Source organism: Homo sapiens, chromosome 4 (assembly GCF_000001405.40).
Source record: "Homo sapiens chromosome 4, GRCh38.p14 Primary Assembly".
Classification (NCBI taxonomy): Eukaryota; Metazoa; Chordata; class Mammalia; order Primates; family Hominidae; genus Homo; species Homo sapiens.
In genome coordinates this window covers 122,344,720-122,363,349 of record NC_000004.12, presented here as the reverse complement: position 1 = coordinate 122,363,349, position 18,630 = coordinate 122,344,720, and the positions used below count along the sequence as shown (strand labels likewise).

General features: G+C 34.4%; 1 protein-coding gene across 39 annotated transcripts in view; it reads right to left on the bottom strand.

Moving 5' to 3' along the window:
- The window catches only part of BLTP1 (bridge-like lipid transfer protein family member 1), a 210,422-nt gene continuing 192,389 nt past the window's right edge, over positions 598 to 18,630 (bottom strand). For 38 of the 39 annotated variants that reach the window (XM_047416253.1, XM_047416259.1, XM_047416258.1 and 35 more), the window contains 12 exons: positions 16,590 to 16,727; positions 15,571 to 15,828; positions 14,633 to 14,783; positions 14,035 to 14,192; positions 13,708 to 13,900; positions 13,276 to 13,493; positions 10,195 to 10,446; positions 9,333 to 9,536; positions 7,360 to 7,554; positions 6,595 to 6,729; positions 3,628 to 3,793; positions 598 to 1,319 (listed from right to left, as the gene is read on the bottom strand). In XM_047416253.1, coding sequence (XP_047272209.1) covers positions 1,103 to 1,319; positions 3,628 to 3,793; positions 6,595 to 6,729; positions 7,360 to 7,554; positions 9,333 to 9,536; positions 10,195 to 10,446; positions 13,276 to 13,493; positions 13,708 to 13,900; positions 14,035 to 14,192; positions 14,633 to 14,783; positions 15,571 to 15,828; positions 16,590 to 16,727 — 2,285 coding nt within the window. In that variant the 3' untranslated portion in view covers positions 598 to 1,102. Of the gene's footprint in view, positions 1,320 to 3,627; positions 3,794 to 6,594; positions 6,730 to 7,359; positions 7,555 to 9,332; positions 9,537 to 10,194; positions 10,447 to 13,262; positions 13,494 to 13,707; positions 13,901 to 14,034; positions 14,193 to 14,632; positions 14,784 to 15,570; positions 15,829 to 16,589; positions 16,728 to 18,630 lie in introns of those variants that run through there. The other variant, XM_047416273.1, reaches the window with a different exon arrangement.

Genomic DNA, 18,630 nt, shown 5'->3' with positions numbered 1-18,630 from the left:
CATTATATATAACTTCATACACACAAAAAATACAAACACGTAAGGAATATAGTATAATAAAAATTACTTGCTGTGAATTTCCCATTAGCTTAAGAAAGAACAATACCTAATATTTCTCGTAGGTATTATTAATATACCTCTTGTGTGCCTGTCCCTAATTTTTTATAAACATAGTCATCTTCCTGTGTTCTTGGGGGATTGGTTCCAGAACATCCGTAGATGCTCAAGTTCCTCATGTAAAATTGTGTAGTGTTTGAATATAACTTACGCACATTCTCCTGGATACTCTTTAAAAATCATCTGTAGATTATTTACAATACCTAATAAAATGCCTACACATCACTTCATTCATGTGGACTTAATGTACTTGGTAAATACAAAAGTTTTGCTTTTTGGAACTTGGGTGGAATATTTTTTTTTTCCTGAATGTTTGTTTTCGATCTGCAGTTCATTGAATCCACAGAGGTAGAACCTATGGCCCAACTCTAATATAGGTATAAATCATCATCTTCTATGAAAGCATCTGATCAGCTGTGACACAGCATGGGCATCTATTAATTATAAAAAGGAGAAAAAGATTGAAAAACTACTACAGACTTAAACCATTACTGTGACTTTATTATAATAGTTAACAATATTTTAGTGGTATACAATCATATCACAATTACTCAAGCTATATACAAACAGGTATTTATATAAGTCTACATTTAAAAAAGAAAAAGCAATTAATGACCTCCCCAAAATCACATTATCATCAACAAGATTTTTTTCTAAAAGTTACGGCCAATCCAATAACAAAAAAATTCACAGTTATTCTGCAGACATTTTAAAGATGCAGGAATTGTATTGCACATTATATAATTATAAACCATAACAAGCAGTTATATATTTTAATCTAGTTTTTCACAAAATTTACATTATCATGCAATACTTCACTGTACACAGAATGATGGAACTAGAACAGGTTAACTTACAAACTTTTAATTATAGCCACAAATTTAGAATTATTTTAAAGTTATATTTCAAATTATTATACTAAAAAAACACTCCAGTGTAATAAAACAGACACAATCATAATTTGTTCACAGATCAAATTACTTTTTTAGTGTTCTTCTTTGTCTTTGCCTTTCTTTTCCTTTTCATCCTGTAGTGCAGTACCGAGCTTTTTGATAAGAACTGACAGAACCTTGTCCAGTGGATCCATGACTCCTCTTTGAAGCCATTTAGGAATAGTAGTCCTAGCATGATGAAAGCCCAATTTTTGAAGAATATAATCAACACCTACTGGATCAATCTTTCTTCCAGTCCAAGAAATTAATCTAAAATAAAAATTACAGTTATTATTAAGGAGTGTAATGCCCTAAAGCATGGTTCTAATGGTAGGAAAAGAACATCACTAAGCCTCTATAATATACTCAAGACAAAATATTTTCAGTAGGTACATTTGTATAAATGAGCCCATAATTCCTGGATTCACCATAATAATAGCATTCAAAAAATAATATATGTATGATTATAAATCTCTTTGACAACCTAAACACAGCAATAGTGTTTACTATATTTCATCCTGAATATTTTAGGCCTGTTATACAGTTATCTTAAACATATAAAAGGACATCTGGTTAATTTTAGTAGATTTCATAAGCATGTGGCATAATGGGAGAAAAAGGCTAAAATTTACTGAGTGCTATGTGCTAAACATATTTGAAGGGAGAACCATTTTTTCCCTATTCTTGCTATTTCCTTATACGTGGAGAAACAGCTGTTACTGAACCGCTCCTGGCCACCTTCTGCCCCTGTATTGATGATTTATCCAACAGGCAAAGTTAACAGAGGAAGTAACAGTTCAGTACCCTCCTCCCTCATGGAGCCCTTCATTTTAGTCTGTTCCTTCATACCACAGGTTTTTCAGGAGCAAGCCCCTAAACAGGTTAGCCCCAGAGTATTCTATGTTGTCTGTGGCTGAGTACATACATAGAGCTGCTGATTGTACAACTCCAGCAACCCCCATCCCGCCCTTCCCCGAAGTTAAGTTCTGCATCGATGCCCTGCAGGTAGGACCAAACCCGAACTTTGTAGAAAGCTATTGTTGCCGTATATCTAAGCCACATGTCTTGTTATCAGCTTTATCCATATTAATCTCTCCCACTATTTCAATTGGTTCTGAACTCAGGGTGGGGGTTGGGGGTGGTTAGGCATTGATCTCCTCAAACTCAAATAGTTATAAGCATTTTGCGTTAATTCATTTAACCAGTGTAACGATCCTACAAGGTGGGTAATACCATTTTCCAAATTTTTCATGAGTCAACTGAGGCAGAGAGAACAGAGGGGTTAGGTGTTTTGGCCTAGCTCAGTCAGCTACTATGCAAAAGAGCTGGGCTTACAGCCAGAGCTCTTAAACCACGCTCTCTACCACTATACCACATTACTTAACTAGATACTCTTGATAGTTTGCTAAAAAAAGGAATATGGTAACTATTTTTATGCTCACTTGAAACTAAATTCATTTTGTATTCAATTTAAATACATTATTATTTAAATTTGCAAATACAAAACAGATTTTACAAATAGTTTTCTGCATTAGGACCTCTGCAGTATTTTAACAGTTAATATTTCTCATGGGTATATGCACTATTAGTACCAAAGTGTTTTGCTTATTTAGTTACAACAAATTTTACTGTATGCCAATTATTTATTAACACACCAAGTCAGTACTTTCTGCCTATACAAGAGTCCTCACTGCATAATGGAGATTTTATTTTGGAATTATTTTGTGACATAAATATGTCTGAATAAAAACCTTATCTAAATAAAATGTATATCATTTTGCAGAATGTTGTGCTGGGATGTAATGGATTTTTAAAAATAGTGTTATTTCAGGATTCAGACAGTTACAACAGGATTAACAAAGCAGATGAGATGAAAGGAAAAAAAACAGGAAGGCTGTTAGTGTTAATCACAAACAAGGACACACAAAGCAAGCACCACTAGTTATAGAAACTATCATAAATATAACTGAAACTAAAAAATACTTTTGAAATTTTGGGATAGTGATTTAATTGGGATAATTGTAGTAGACCATGACTCAGTAAGGGAACCTTAATCTGATAGTGTTAAATTTGAGATATTAGGCATGGTTTTATAATGCTTAGTATGCAAAGAGAGGGGCACTGTGATGCTGCAGGTTTTATTACAGTGTTATGACATATATACAGCAAGAAATTAAAATAGTTCCTTAACAATTAAATATGACTTCTGCTGCATCTTGCCATACTAAGTAACAAAACAGTTTACAGTAGCTACCTCAAACCCTGAAAATAACATCTTGGTGAGAAGGTGAAAAACTAGTGGCAACAGTGGAAGGACAATTATTCTCATATTTTAGTAATGTCACCCATTGGACAACTCATCAGTGCTGAGCTATTCTCAACATTTGTACTTCATTCGCCTTACCTAGAAACAAATACAGAAAGAAGCAGCAAAGACAGCACACAGAAGCTATAGACATTACAGGAGACTAACTTCTGAATATATTTTTTGATAATCATATGTAACTTACATTATTCATAACTTTTTGCTCATAGTAATCCCTTAGCATATGGGTAAATGTATATACTCATTACTTACCTAAGAGTAGGTTCTAGATGCCATGTATTGCACATAAAATCTCTCCAGTCCACAGTAGTATAAGTGATGCTATCTTCTCTATCTTTATCAGAGGAATTGTCGTCATGTATAATAATTGGACTTTTTTGTCCTGGTCGAGTAGATAAAATCCGAGGTGGAAAGATGGCTATAAGGAAAATTTAGATTAGTATGATACATTTATGTTAAATCACCATAAGAATTAGAACAGAATTGGTTTCATTTCTCATTTTATCTATGACCTGGCCAAAGCCTCATTTAATTGCATTTCTTAAAAATAATATTTTAAAATAAGCCATAAGTACCAATTATTGATAATTCTTAGAGATTAACAGTGTCAACATTAATGATAAAAAATGCTGAGATCATTGACTTGATAGCAAGCCTATGGCACTGAAATTGATAGTTGTAGGTTTCCTAAAGAATGGCTGTAGTAGGTTTATTTTTTATTTTTTATTTTATTATTATTATACTTTTAAGTTTTAGGGTACATGTGCACAATGTGCAGGTTAGTTACATATGTATACATGTGCCATGCTGGTGTGCTGCACCCATTAACTCGTCATTTAGCATTAGGTATATCTCCTAATGCTATCCCTCCCCGCTCCCTTTTTTGTTTTTTTTTTTAACAGCTTTGAGATATAATTCACACACCATACCATTCATTAATTTAAGCTGTGTAATTCAATGGTTTTTGTATGCTAATGGCTAGTTGTATATATATTTGAACAGTGGTACTAAAGAGGTTTTTATTTAAGCAGACTTTTCACTCTTTATAAAGACAAGTCTTTTAATTGGCTATAATAATTATATATAAAGTGTAATCTGCAACATAGGTATTAGGGTGGTGCAAAAGTAATTGCAGTTTTTGCCATTAATATTTTCATATGATCTTATTTAATGAATACAGCTTTCCTCTTAGGGCATTAGTTTCAATACACAAACTGGACGTGAAATAATTGAATAATTAGGTAATATGTGTTATATAGCTCCGGTTATAACTTGATTGGGAATGAGCCTCAAAATTAAGCCATAGTAACGCACTACGTAAGAACACAGATGCCCTGTTCAGTTAAGGCCTGCTCAGTTGCTGGGTTTTTGTTTATTACTGGTGGTGGTTACAGTGCTACAATTTATTTTGATGTTCTCTAAATATGTTGATTCTGGTATAGTCTGACATGCTGTTAAGCATTTTCTCAGGTATATTTGAGTATTTTGGCCAAAACGAAGTGCTTGTTGTTTGTAATAACTTATTTATAATTGAAATCCTCACATACATATTTTGTTATTGTAAATCCACCCCCTTTTCCCATTGAAATGTTTTATAACAGTTTATATTAAAACGGTCTTTTTGTTGTTGTTTTTTAGAAATACACGTAGTTTGTGGCAGACCAAGACCAACACACTATTTCATAAAATGACAAATGTTTCACATCATACCCAAGAGAAACAAATTTGTCAGGTTTTCAAATATAGGTAGACTAGAAAATAATTCTGAACTTCACAGGTTTGTCTTGAATCTGTTTTTTTCTACATTAAGTTTAAATATTAAGGCATAAAAACAAAAAGGATTGCCAGTGACTGGTATCTGTTGGGGCTGTATGTGAAGATTTTATCTACTTATATATAATATACAAGATTGCCTATTATACAGTTTCTGTCATTTTACTTGAAGTTTCTACTGAGGTCATATAGATTTCTCCCAGCCATCATTATTGATTTTACTCTCTCACTGAATTTTGGGCACATCTCAATTGAATATTAATAAAAGAGCATTTCAATGTATGCTATGCTACCTTTGTACTCTTTCAACATGGTCGTTTGATAATCTTTATTTTTAAAAGTCAAGACAAATTTTATATTTTTTCCTCATGAAGAAAATGAAACAATATTATAGTGTGACTTGAACAAATTACATTTATTCCAAGTTATTTATTAGGAAGCACATATGTGATTTTACCATTGTATATTCATAACGGTGCAATAAATATTGAATGAATAAATGGCCATATATTTTGTAAGCATTCCAAATCATTACATTTCAAACTACCTCATTCTTTTAAACAGTTAGAGAGTACTATAATGTATTAGCTAATTCCAGATATTAGGGCTGCCATACTTTTTTTTTTTTTTTTTGAGACAGGATCTCTGTCACCCAGGCTGGAGTGTGGTGGTGCAATTATGGCTCACAGCTCACTGTAGCCTTGAACTCCCAGGCTCAAGCGATCCTCCCACCTCACAGCCTCCCGAGTAGCTGGGGACTACAGGTATGTGCCACCACACCTGGCTAATTTTTGTATTTTTTGTAGAAATGGGGTCTCACTTTGTTGCCTAGGCTGGTCTCAAAGCCCTGGGCTCAAGCAGTCCATCCTCCTTGGCATCCCAAAGTGCTGGTATTACAGACATGAGCCACCGCCCCCAGCCACCATACATTTCTTAATGGGTAAACATTAAGTTACCAGTGTGTAAACCAATGTTAGCAAGCTCATGAACCCAAATACCACCACTGAGATTTAAATAATTTATGTATTAAAAAGAAAATGTTTTCTGCATTCCAAACATTTATCAGCTTTCTCAATTCAGTTTTCACAATTAGGTAAATAACTCATGCTTCTTTATTATGTAGTTGTTTCTTTAGTCATTTCACTTTGATTTGCAGTATTTTCTCACATTTTCCTATTTTTCAAGAATCTCCTGTAAGATCTAACTGAAAATGTACATAAGATAATGTATACAGAAACACTTTGTAAAGTATAAAACACCATTGGTGCTGTATATATAGCAAGTACTCAGAAAGTCTGTGATAGTCTTACTAACGCTATTTACTGATATCTTCAACTCACGGGAGATATATTCCACTCATTTTCTCATTAGACCATAACAATTCATGTAAATGGCATTGACAGCTGCCATTCTTGCAGCCTAAAAGAAAAAGAGTATTCCACCCACCTTTTTCTTTTTCTTTAAGATAAGCTGATACTAAATCATGAAGAAACATGATGAGCTCAGCATCCATAGTCACACAAATGTGGTCAGTGAACTCTGTCACCACACTACATTCTACTTTTGGCTTCAGGCTGGCATCTGCAATAATATGGTAAAAGATTTAATAAAATGAGTCATCTTCCCATTAATAAGGATTTATATAGGTCTATGTAAATGCATCCACATGAAATGCAACTGTAAAGAAATGAGTAATATCTGTATGTGATTTACAGGATGATGATAGTTTGTTAAGCACTTCCCTAGTACAGATTGAGTATCCTTTATCCAATTATGCTTGGGATCAGATGTCTTTCAAATTTTGGATTCTGGAATATTTGCATTATACTTACTGGTTTTAGAACCCCAATCCAAAAATCTGAAATCCTCCAATGAGCATTTCCTGTGTCATGTCAGTGTTCAAAATATTTTGGATTTTAGGGCATTTCAGATTTTTGGATTGGGATGCTCAACCTATATATGCCATTTATTCCTGATAATAGTCCTATAAATGAAGTCCAATTATTCTTCTTCATTTTACTGAGGAGAGAGAGGTATAAGTTGGTTAAATAATTTTCCAGAGGTCATATAGCTGATAAGAAAATAAATCAATTTTGCCTAGAAAATTAATTTCATTAGATATTAGTATTACAAAAAATCCATGGGAACACAGCAGTAGTTTGAAGTGCCTTTAGAATTTTCTTATTAACTTTAAATTGTTTTTCTACATACCCTGTAATGAAGGCTCCTGTGGTTCTTGAACATGAATGGATTTAAAGTCAAGCTGCATCCTTGGTAATGCAAAGATAGTCTCTGTTTCATGGTTGTAGCTAGAACCTCCTCTGAATCCACTCAACAAACTAGAATTCTTCACAGTAGTGCTATTCTCAGTGTTGTTAGCATCAACATTACGAAGCAGATTTAGCTCTACATGCATAATGATAAAGAGAGAGTCAAATTAAAACAATAGGCATTGACAAGCCTATATAGCTTTCAAGACAACTATAATATACAGAACTATTATTTCCAAAGTTGGAAAGAATCACATTATATATAGATATACTACATATATCTATGTATACAGATATATACATATACATGGACACATATGTATATATATACATATGTATATATACATATATTTATATATATACATATGATATAGATATATATGTAGTATATCTATATCAGTAGCTCACTGTTGTCAAGACCAAAGCTTTATAATGGGATTTGTATAAACCCAATACATTCTAGCTTTGGTTTCTGGGATTTTAAAATGAATATTATTCTCAACTGAATTCATGTCTGAAGTTGGAATTTCACTAAGCCCAAAGGGCTCCATAGATTGAACACTTCACTCTTAAAGAATTTGAGATTAAATAGGATCCTGGTCTTGAAATCAGGTAGAAGTACTGATTTTCCCCAACATATGTGCTATGATTAAACTATAGAGTCTTAGTTTTATAAAGACCTTTTATAGGTCTTAGAATTATAATAATTAGTATTTTTCTTCAGACAGCAGTTCATTATGCTAATAGACGCTTTAGGACACTCCAGCCATAAAGATCCCCCTTCCCCCAAATCCCTGTTTGGAAGGTAAAATAGTCAGTACAGGCATAATCTTCTGATTCACTTTCTTATTCTCCTTTGTTCTAGGAACATTTTTAACAGTCTCTATTCAATCCATGAGATGGCCTATTCCATGGTAACTGTTCTCATGGGGCCTAATCTTTTCCATTTTGAAAAAAGGTCATTTTTGGCTGTGCATGGTGGCTCATGCCTGTAATCCCAGCACTTTGGGAGGCTGAGGCGGGTGTATCACGAGGTCAGGAGTTCGAGACCAGCCTGAACAACATGGTGAAACCCTGTCTCTACTAAAAATACAAAAATTAGCCGGGCGTGGTGGCGCACACCTGTAATCCCAGCTACTCAGGAGGCTGAGGCAGGAGAATCGCTTGAACCCAGGAAATGGAGGTTGCAGTGAGCCAAGATCATGCCACTGTACTTCAGTCTGGGCAACAGAGCAAGACTCTGTCTCAAAAAAAAAAAAAAAGAAAAGAAAAAAGGTCATTTTTATGTAAAACATTGAAAAGTCTCAACACCTGTCAATCTAGTCAGCTTTCCAATACACAGAGATAATTGGTAAAAGCAATACTATAAACCCAAATCCCAAAAGCACCACAAAATAAGTTATCATGACCACACTATCACAAGACTGTTGTATCTAATCAAATGAAAAAAAAAAACTATCAAAAGCACTTTCTTTTAAACTTACAACTTGATAGAATGATAATATTTGGTTTCATTTTGTTCTAGCTATTCGAACTTTAAGTTTGTGGTATTCCTTTATTTAGTTGTGTAACAACCTCCCCAAACTTCCATTTTTTAGCATTACTAGAAAAATATTTTTCCAGAATCATTTCCTAAATATTTCCTAAAATATTTCTCAATGTAATAAACTTAATTTTATTTAAAGCCAATTTTATTTAGAATGTTTTCAATAACATCTAAAATAAGTTGAGTCCATGAGATGCCACATTACCAGGGTGGTATTAAATAATTATTACTTGTGTCAGCCAGCAAGATTAAAATGAAAATTGTTTAAGGAAATGAAAACACCATCTCCATTTAAATTCTAAACACAGTCAACAGAATCCAAAATGGAAAAAACAAAATAAATCTCTCCAAAGACTCAAAATTTTAACCTTCATTCCTTGTAGCTGTAACATAATTGAACCATTCTTTCACACTTGCTACTCCATGGGGTGGATTTTCATGGCGACGCCTTGTTATCTTGGTTATTGTTGCCATAGGACTTTCCAAAGCACCACATGGTTTGGTAACCATAGTATTATGACCCAGGTGAAAATCTAGTGTTTGTACAATATATGTAGAATGATCACTGGAGCCTACAACAAAATAAAAATACTTTTTTAAAGTAATAAACCATATTTAGATTCAAGATGATAATTGTGGCCTCAGAGCTATAAATTCAGTTGTCATATATAGGAAGGCTATAAAAATGAAGAATAAATGAGGATAAAAACCAAATAATTCACAAATAATTCTTCTATTAGTGGTAATTGGATTTGTCCCTAGTAAGATGAAGAAAGCATCAAACATCAAACATTTTTTTCCCTCAATGTAGAAACCACCAAGTAGAAAAGTAAAGCTCAAAGGAAATGGGTTTATCACTGTAGAGATAAAAGCACAGCCTTGCCTATATATTTTATAATATAGTCTTGACTGGCAAATAATTTCCTCACACTACCACTATGTTGCCTTCACTTCATGTTTTTATAAGAAAGATTACAGTAACTATTACCATGACTTATGTTTAGCCACAGCAGCAGAAACTTTAATTGCCTAAGTAAGAAACATGGAGTAAGATGGCAAGTTCAGAAATTAACATGTTCCAGACATTATAAATATTGACTTATTGGTAGTGAACTCCTTAACATGTCAGATACATGATAACAAACAGAGATGGACTTCAGAAATACAATTGTCATTTATAGTCATAACAGAAGATAGGAGAAAGTAAAAGCTGGAAATGTGTCAGTTTACCATCTTCCCAGATTTTCTGAGCTTCAGTCCAAAAAGCAATATTTGGTTCTTCTAAATGAAAAAGGGCCCAAGATTTTGAACGAAAATTTGGACCATGAAAACATGCCAGTGTCATATGATTTCCATGTAAGCTCATTGATCCTCCAAATTGCATTCCATCTTCTGGTAATGGAATCTGAAATAAGGATATGTGGCATCCTGATACCACCTTCAATACTCCAGGCCAGTGTCGATGATGTGCTGCATCAAGTACTGCAAGAAAACCAAAAAACACATATCCTGAAGTGCCTAATGAGTACCCTTGGATAGGGTAGAGTGAGGCAGCAAGTGGCTACTTTCTACAGTCTCAGGTGAGGGATGAAAACAGTGTCCAGTGCCTGTTAAACATTAAGCAATAGCTAATAAAGAGACATTCTAGGAAAAGATGCTGCATGAGGATGGATATAGCTAAGGAAAGTAGTAACTTGCTAAAAATAATTAAAACTAATATGTCTGAGGCTGGGTGCTGTGGCTCACGCCTGTAAACCCAGCACTTTTGGAAGCCGTAGCGGGTGGATCATTTGAGGTCAGGAGTTCGAGACCAGCCTGGCCAACATGGTGAAACCCTGTCTCTACTAAAAATACCAAAATTAGCTGGGTGCGGTGGAGCACGCCTGTAGTCCCAGCTACTTGGGAGGTTAAGGCAGGAGAATTGCTTGAACCCAGGAGGCAGAGGTTGTAGTGAGCTGAGATCGTGCCACTGCACTCCAGCCTGGATGACAGAGTGAGAACCTGTCTCAAAAAAAAAAAAAAAAAAAAAAGAAAAACCAAAACCTAATATGTCTGTAATGATTAATGAGTTACAAAGTACTTGCATGGAATTTTATGTAATTCTCAATTCTCATTATAACTTTGTAAACTAGATATTTCATCTTGACTGATTTCAAGTGAATAAGCAGAAGAACAAAGAGGTTAAGTGAACCAGTAACTGGAAGACCTAGAAATCAAATGCAGACCCCCTTATTTTAAGTACTGCTTTTAAACTCATATTCCTTTGCTACTCAAAGGTCAGAGGGCCAGCAGAATCAGCATTGCCTGGGAGCTTGTGAGAAATGCCGACTCTTAAGCCCACCTGTACCTACTATATCAAAATCTTTATTTTAATAACATCTCCAGGGGTTTCAGATGCATGTTAAGTTTGAGAAGCACTAATCAAACATACAACGTTTATTTTCCATTTATTCCAATAATGTTCCTTTTGGCTGTTTTCCATACCTCTCACCCATAATCCAACCAAAGATCATGAATTGTATTCATTTATTATGTTTTCCTTTAAACAATTCCCTAAGCCTTTATGTTTGTTTTTTGTGACGAGGAGTTTTTTTGAAGAATCCAGGCCAGGCATTTTGCAGAACATCCCTCAATTTTTATATGCCTAATATAAATTTTAGTTTAAAGGAAATACATGGACTACAGGAAAAACATAAATGACACCACAAAGAAGTAACTGAAAAAGATCTAGAAGGTAGGGAATTCTTTAGGACAGTTGGCTACATCTCTTCAATAAGTCAGTTCATATAAAAAATGAACTGTGCTAAATTAAAAGAAGGCAAAGGAACATAACCATATTTAACCTGTGACTTTGGATTGGATAAACTGGTTTGGACAAAACCATTATAGAGGACATTTTTAGATCAATCATGGAAATTTGAATGTGTTTTGAAAGCTAAAGGAGATAATTAGCAAAATGGAAAGTTGGAGATTGTTGACCTACAAAATGGTATGAATTTTGATATTTTCTTAAAATGTACGCATATATACAGATACACAGAAAAATATCTGGAGGTGTATGCTCTAAGGTGTTCACAGTGATTTCTGAGTGGAATGTGATGGTTTTATTTTTTGCTTCTCTTGTGTTTTCTAGTTTTTTTCAATGTATACGTATTACTTCTGTGATAATAAAGTTATTAAAAAGCTATCCTCATTCTGACTGTTTCTCACCACTTACACCTCTATCATCCTAGTGAAAGCCACCATTTCTTGCCTGGACTCTTGCAATGGCTTCCTTACAATAATGATGTAACTATGTACATAACAATGATAATGGTAATTATTGCAATGGTTTCCTTCCATTCTTAACTGCCTATAGTCTGTTCTTCACACAGTAGCCAGAGTGAACTTTAAAAGGGAGTATTTTTTGAAAAGATAAATCCGATATCAAATCTGTTTAAAACTCTCTGATAGCTAACCATCATATTAAAAATCTTACCTGTAGTAGACCTCTGTGAATTCATGTCCGGCATTTTCGTCCTTGCTCATTTCTGTTCCAGCCACAGTGGCAACCTTAATGATCCTCAAGCCAAGTTTGTTCCTACTAGGGGAACTTTGGACTCAGTATCCCCCGATGCCTGGAACTCTCTTCCCCCACATCTTAGCCTTGTTCTTTCATTCACATTTCCACTAAAATGTCACTTCAGAAAAGGCCTAAATGATCACCCTTTCTAAAATAGCTATCCTCACATTTAATCATTCTCTATATTCTTCCCGTTTTGTTCTTTTGCTTAGCACTTCTCTCTTACTGAAATTATCTTATATATTTAGTTAGTAAATTTATTATGGTCTTTCTCTCCCATTAGAATCTGAGCTTCATGAGGGTAGTGATTCTGTCCACCACTAGATCTCCTGTGCCTAGAATAGTGCCTAAGCACATGGTTGTAGCTTAATAAATATTTGCCAATTGAATTGCTAAGTGAAAATAATGACCTGCTTATCACCTAATAAATCCAAATTCAGATATTCTGACTCCACAGACATTCTAAACCAGAACATGATATTCTCATAAACACTATTCAAGAGCGTGGAGTGGGTATGGATGCAGATGCACTGCAGCAGGGGGAAGAGATAACAAATGATGTCTTCCTAAATGATGGCCTCTAATTCCATTGGCAGGTAGAAATTCTGGTCCTTTGCTAACTGAGTGAGATAAAGAGCCTGTGGGCTATTTTCTAAGTGGGGCATACAGATTATTATTATTTTAAATTAAAAATGTAACATATTTAGTGAAAGATAAAGCATATATAAAAGCTTACTTCTAATTCTTACATTGTTCTTGTGAACTTTTTTCTAGGTTGCTAGTCATTGTCTTTGGCGGAAGGTAAGGAACTGGTCCCCAGGTAGACAGAGCTCGTTTGCTGGTATCAAATTGTTGTGTGAAAAATTCCTGGAGCTTCATTCCTATTTTTATCAGATCTGGTGTGGTTGACCTTGATATCATTACTTGGAAAATATCCCACTTCAAATCTCCATGGACGAAAATCTCACTAGAGCATAAAACAAAATCTTTGTCAGATGTCTTACAGCAGATACTCAAAAAGTACAAGAAACATTTTCTTCCCCCGCCCAGCTTTTTAATTTGTATTAATTGCATAATAAATAAGAGTTTTGTAAGAAAAATTGCTGTTTTCTCACCAGATGATAGACAATATGTTGAGAACAGTCATGTAAAGTGTCCAAAAAGTAATCCTTAATAAATACCTTTTATCAGTTATGCTTGAATCCAATGTATTATACAAGTTTACTTTCCATTCATCCTGAAGCTTAAGATCAGCATTACTGAAGATGCCCATGAGGATACTTGAGCCCATGTAATCAACACGAGCTTCAGTAGAACCCATAGTAATCTGAATTTTGTGACTGGGTTGCTGATTTGGATGTTCAGAAATATGAGCTAAAATAGAAACAATAATTAATTTTGACAGACATGTCCATGGGAAAAACTCATGAGAATCCATCTCCAAAAGCATTTTTTTTGATATATATATCTTAAGGATATGTTAGGTCAGTTTTAAAATTTCAACATACCAACCATCTCCAAAGCATTGACATCTATGGTCCCTCCAACTACTCCTCCTTTAGAATCTAATTGTGATCTTCCCAGACCAACAGACATGCTGATCTCTCGATCACGATTACTTCCTACTGACAGACGGCCCTGGCTCTTCAAACCACTAGTTGTCCAACTAAAAAATGAAAAAAAGGTTATTATATATATAGCTTCCAGTGTCATGAATTAAAACAGGATTTAAATTAAAAAGGAGTTAAATCAGATTATTTAAAAGGTCAAGTTTGACAATGAAACAACATACTTTATATAAAAACTGTGTGGTAAATATTTGAATATTAACATTGATAATGAAGCTTTACTCCTAGCTAGAAAAGCTAGAAAATTACCCTGTTCTCCTTATAATTGATTCCCTTTTTATAGAACATATATTTCATGATGTTTTATATTGCAGTATCCTTAGAATTAAGCCATTTTCAGGATAAAACATTTTATATCGTTTATCTACTTCTTTTTCAAATATTTAGCATTCAAAAAAGGTTCTGAATATCTTTACTACAGTAGAAGAAAAGTTACAAAAATGATTAAATACATTTCCTTTGTATCTGAATAGCTTACGTTGTATTTCCCATTACATTACTCATATTCATTTGAACGTTTAATTGCTTCAAGTTGATAGCAAACACGACAAGTGTTTCCCATGGGGTCCCTTGTTGGCTTGCTGCTTTGTTTGATTTGTTAAAAGGAGTTGATGTTTTTGAAAGTGAATCTAAAAATAGAAAAATCAAATACATGTTCATTCACATAAATGCCAAGCTAGTTACAAAGCAAAAACTATTTTTATTGCTATAATCCAAAAAGTAAAAATATAATATTCTTGTATTAGAATCTAATGTTTAATGGTTATCCTATTGCCTCTAAAATAATAGTTACCACTTACTAAATGTTTATAAGTGCTGGCAGCTTTACCTCTTGAAAGCTCATAAAATTATGTATGGCCCCCATTTTATATGAGGAAATTCTGGTGTGCATGGGATATAGCAGCACAGATCATGCATCACCCTAGGATTCTGTTTAACAAAGAAGAAAATCATAAGGTGCTGTTGCCAAATACAGGACTCAAAGGCAGAAACCATTCTGAAATGCAGATGCCGGTTGGGGTGCCTGTCTTTTGTGTTCTTATGGACTTAGTATATATCTTGAATCCTGCATTTGCTCATTATATTTTAATCTTTTGACGAGAACTACATCATTCATTTTTATACAATCAGGCACAAGTACAAGGCCAAGCCCATATGGAGCACACAAACAATATGCTAATTCCTCTCCCCTTATCTATTTGTAAAGCTACTGGCCATCTAGCTGTCTTGATGGCAATACTTTGAAATATTTGTTTTGTTGTTTTTACTGTGTTGGGGATTTTTTTTTTTTTTTTTGACGTGTCATAAAAACCTCAAGAATTTATTTTCCTATAGTTAGGGCTGAAATCTGAGAGTAACTAAGATTTTATCCTGAGAACACTGTAGGGCTACTGATAACAAAAAGAGCAGTGTTACCTCTTCGAGGAACTGAAGAATCAGATACACTCCTTGATCTTATGGAAGCTGGGGATTTTAGGCTCTGTCCTACTGTCCCTGGTGACATGGTGCTGTTTGTCATATGCTCATTGAACACATTAGGTGACTGAGGCATGTGGGTGAAGGAGGCTGACTGACTTGGCTGCTCCCAGGTCTTGCAGTAAGCTTTTCTTGATGATTCAGGGGAAAGGTGTTGGCTTACCCCTTCAATGGAATCAGGTGTCCCTGGGCCAGATGCTAGTAGAAAACAAACAAAACAAACAAAAAATCCAAAGTAACAGGGTAAAATCCCTATGTTATAAAATAAGTTCACCCATCCATCATTTCTAATCACATTACATATTCCTTCTAGTTCTCTATTTAGCAGCTGTACAGCAATTTACAGTTTGCAAAGAACATGCCAGTGTTTTGTTTAAACTCCATGAAAAGAGCAAAACAGGACCTCTGGTCTCAGTTTACAGGTGAGGGAATACACTCAGACTTAGGGTTTCTCAAATTTACCTCTATGTAACTGACTCTAGTTTTCATTTCCAAAAATCTCTTGATTTCATTACCTACAACAATATCTAAATCCAGCAGACAAATGCAGGCAAGCTAGTAACATGTCCCCAGCATCTTCTGTTTCCCATGCTTCGCTAACCATGATTAACTTGGATATTTAAAAGGATTACAGAGTAATCATTATAGAATAAATTTACTAACAAATTAACTAACTTATAAATTTACTAATTTGTTAGGATAGTTATAGAATAAACTATATTTATTCAGCCAGAATGTAATCTCAAAGAAGACAAAACTTTTTGTCTTTTTGGTTCTCTGATATATCCTCAGTGCTAATATATCCCTTGTGGTTGGCATATTAGAGGGGCCCAATGGACATTTCTTGAATGACTGAACGCATCACATGGTACACCCTGCCAAGTAAGATCACGTTTGTGTTATCAATTGTAGGTCTTGCTGCTACAGTAACCAAAATTAAAATTACATAACAAGCTTACTTGGCAAATTTATAGTTTGGTCTCCAAGGAATAGACGTCTTGCAATACTTCTTCTATACCATGCTCTTGGAAATGCCAGAATTTCACTGAGTCGGCGCATATCATATTTAAAGGAGGCAGACCCTATATCACAAACAGCTGATACATAAATAACATTTGTTAGTACAGATTTCTAAAACCTTTAATGTTTTCACATGGTAGGTATAAGACAGGGTTATTACACAGCTGAATTATACTTAAGTTACATATTATGATTAGTGTTACATTCTTCCACAAATTACAAAAACAGCACATTCTAACACTGTTAGTACCACTTCCCTTTTTTGAGGTGATGGCAAGTTGGAATTCTATTATCACTTTATCATGAAATCCTCAGAGAAGTTCTAAAGATCAGTCTGATAGCCAGCTTTCAATTTTAACACAGCAGTCTTTTCTATTATGGAAAATGAATCATCAGGATGAGCTGGTATACAAATTTTCTCAAAAGGAATTGTAAACCAAATAGCTGTGTGGCAGGGACTACTATTTTCCTATCAGACTAATAGCAGTGACTTTAGACAAAAAACATTTTGATGGCCTTCTTCCAGAGTTCTGCTCTGGAGCATTCTTCTACTCCTGTTGTATGTGCTCTTCTATTCTTCTACCATAGTTTCTATAGGGTTTACATGCCAATGACTCCCACAGCTAAAATTTCTGTTTTTGTCTGAGCCCATACCTACATAGCGATACCCGCTAAGTCAGTTGTCTACCAGAACCTTCCACCTAAATGTCCTATAGACATTTCCTTCTTTATTTTCTAAGTTAATGGCTTCACTGCTCCTTCAGTCATCTAAGCTAAAAGTTTGAGGCATTCTTGTCTCCTCTGTTGCCCCTAATACAACTTATACTTAAGTTTATGGATTCTCTTCTATCTCTCTTGAACCCACTCCTCATTCCCTTTTCTCCTTTTTTTACTGCCACAGTTCATGCTCTCATCTACTATTGCATGGTCTACTTCAGCAGCCTCCTCAAGCATCTTTTCTTTCCTGTCTTTCAGGCTACCCTCAACTCTCTTTCTAAAACACCATTCTGAAGCATCAACCCATTTCTTAACTTCTAATGGCTTCTCAGTGCCGAAATAATCAGAACCCAATTCTTTATCATGGCATATGATATGAGTCCCTCCACAATCAGGTCCTATTTTATCAGCTTTACCTCTAGCCTCTCTATTTCTGGCTCCATCCACTTAAACCAATTAAATGTTCAACATTTAATTGGCTCCAACCAATTAAATGTTCACTTATACCCTGTGCTTCAGCCACAGCAAATCAAAGTATGATCCAGAAGCATACATTTTGATGCTTCTGTGCCATTGAATACCATGTTGCTACCTCCAAGAATATTCCTACTCATTTTTCAAAATGTGGGCCAAATAACATTTCCTATGTGAAGCCTTTTCTGATTTCTCATACAAGACAGAATTTATTGTTTCCTTCTCTTTGTAGAAAGCTCCATTATAGCATTTATTATCCTGGACTCATTTATTTGTCTACACATAAGACCTTGTCTTATTCATGCCTGCTCCCCTCAATCACCTAGCAATCTCAGGTAAAAGTTTACCCTAAAACACAGGCTTAATATATATTTTCAGAATATTGGGTTAAGTGAACATACCATATTTATTTGATTCATAATTATGAAAGTTTTTACTCAGTATTCTGGATTCTTCAGAATGTCTATTTGCATTTACTTTTAAACACTCAAATCGCAATGTAAAGGAAATGACTTGCCCATAGTTATATAGATGTTTATAAAACCAGCAGTATACATGCACACAATTCAAGGTTTTCTGACATCAAGTAAACATTTTTAAACATCACTCATCCCGTTTTAGTGTTTTAAGCATTTACAATTAGAAGAACAAAAAGAAACTGTACCAATTCATGGTGGAGAAAAAGTGAAGAAAAGAAGCAACTTTTACTGATTTAATTAGGCATACTTGGCCCTTGGGTGATATGTCTATTTATCTAGAAATTATATTCCTAACATTTATTACTTGGAT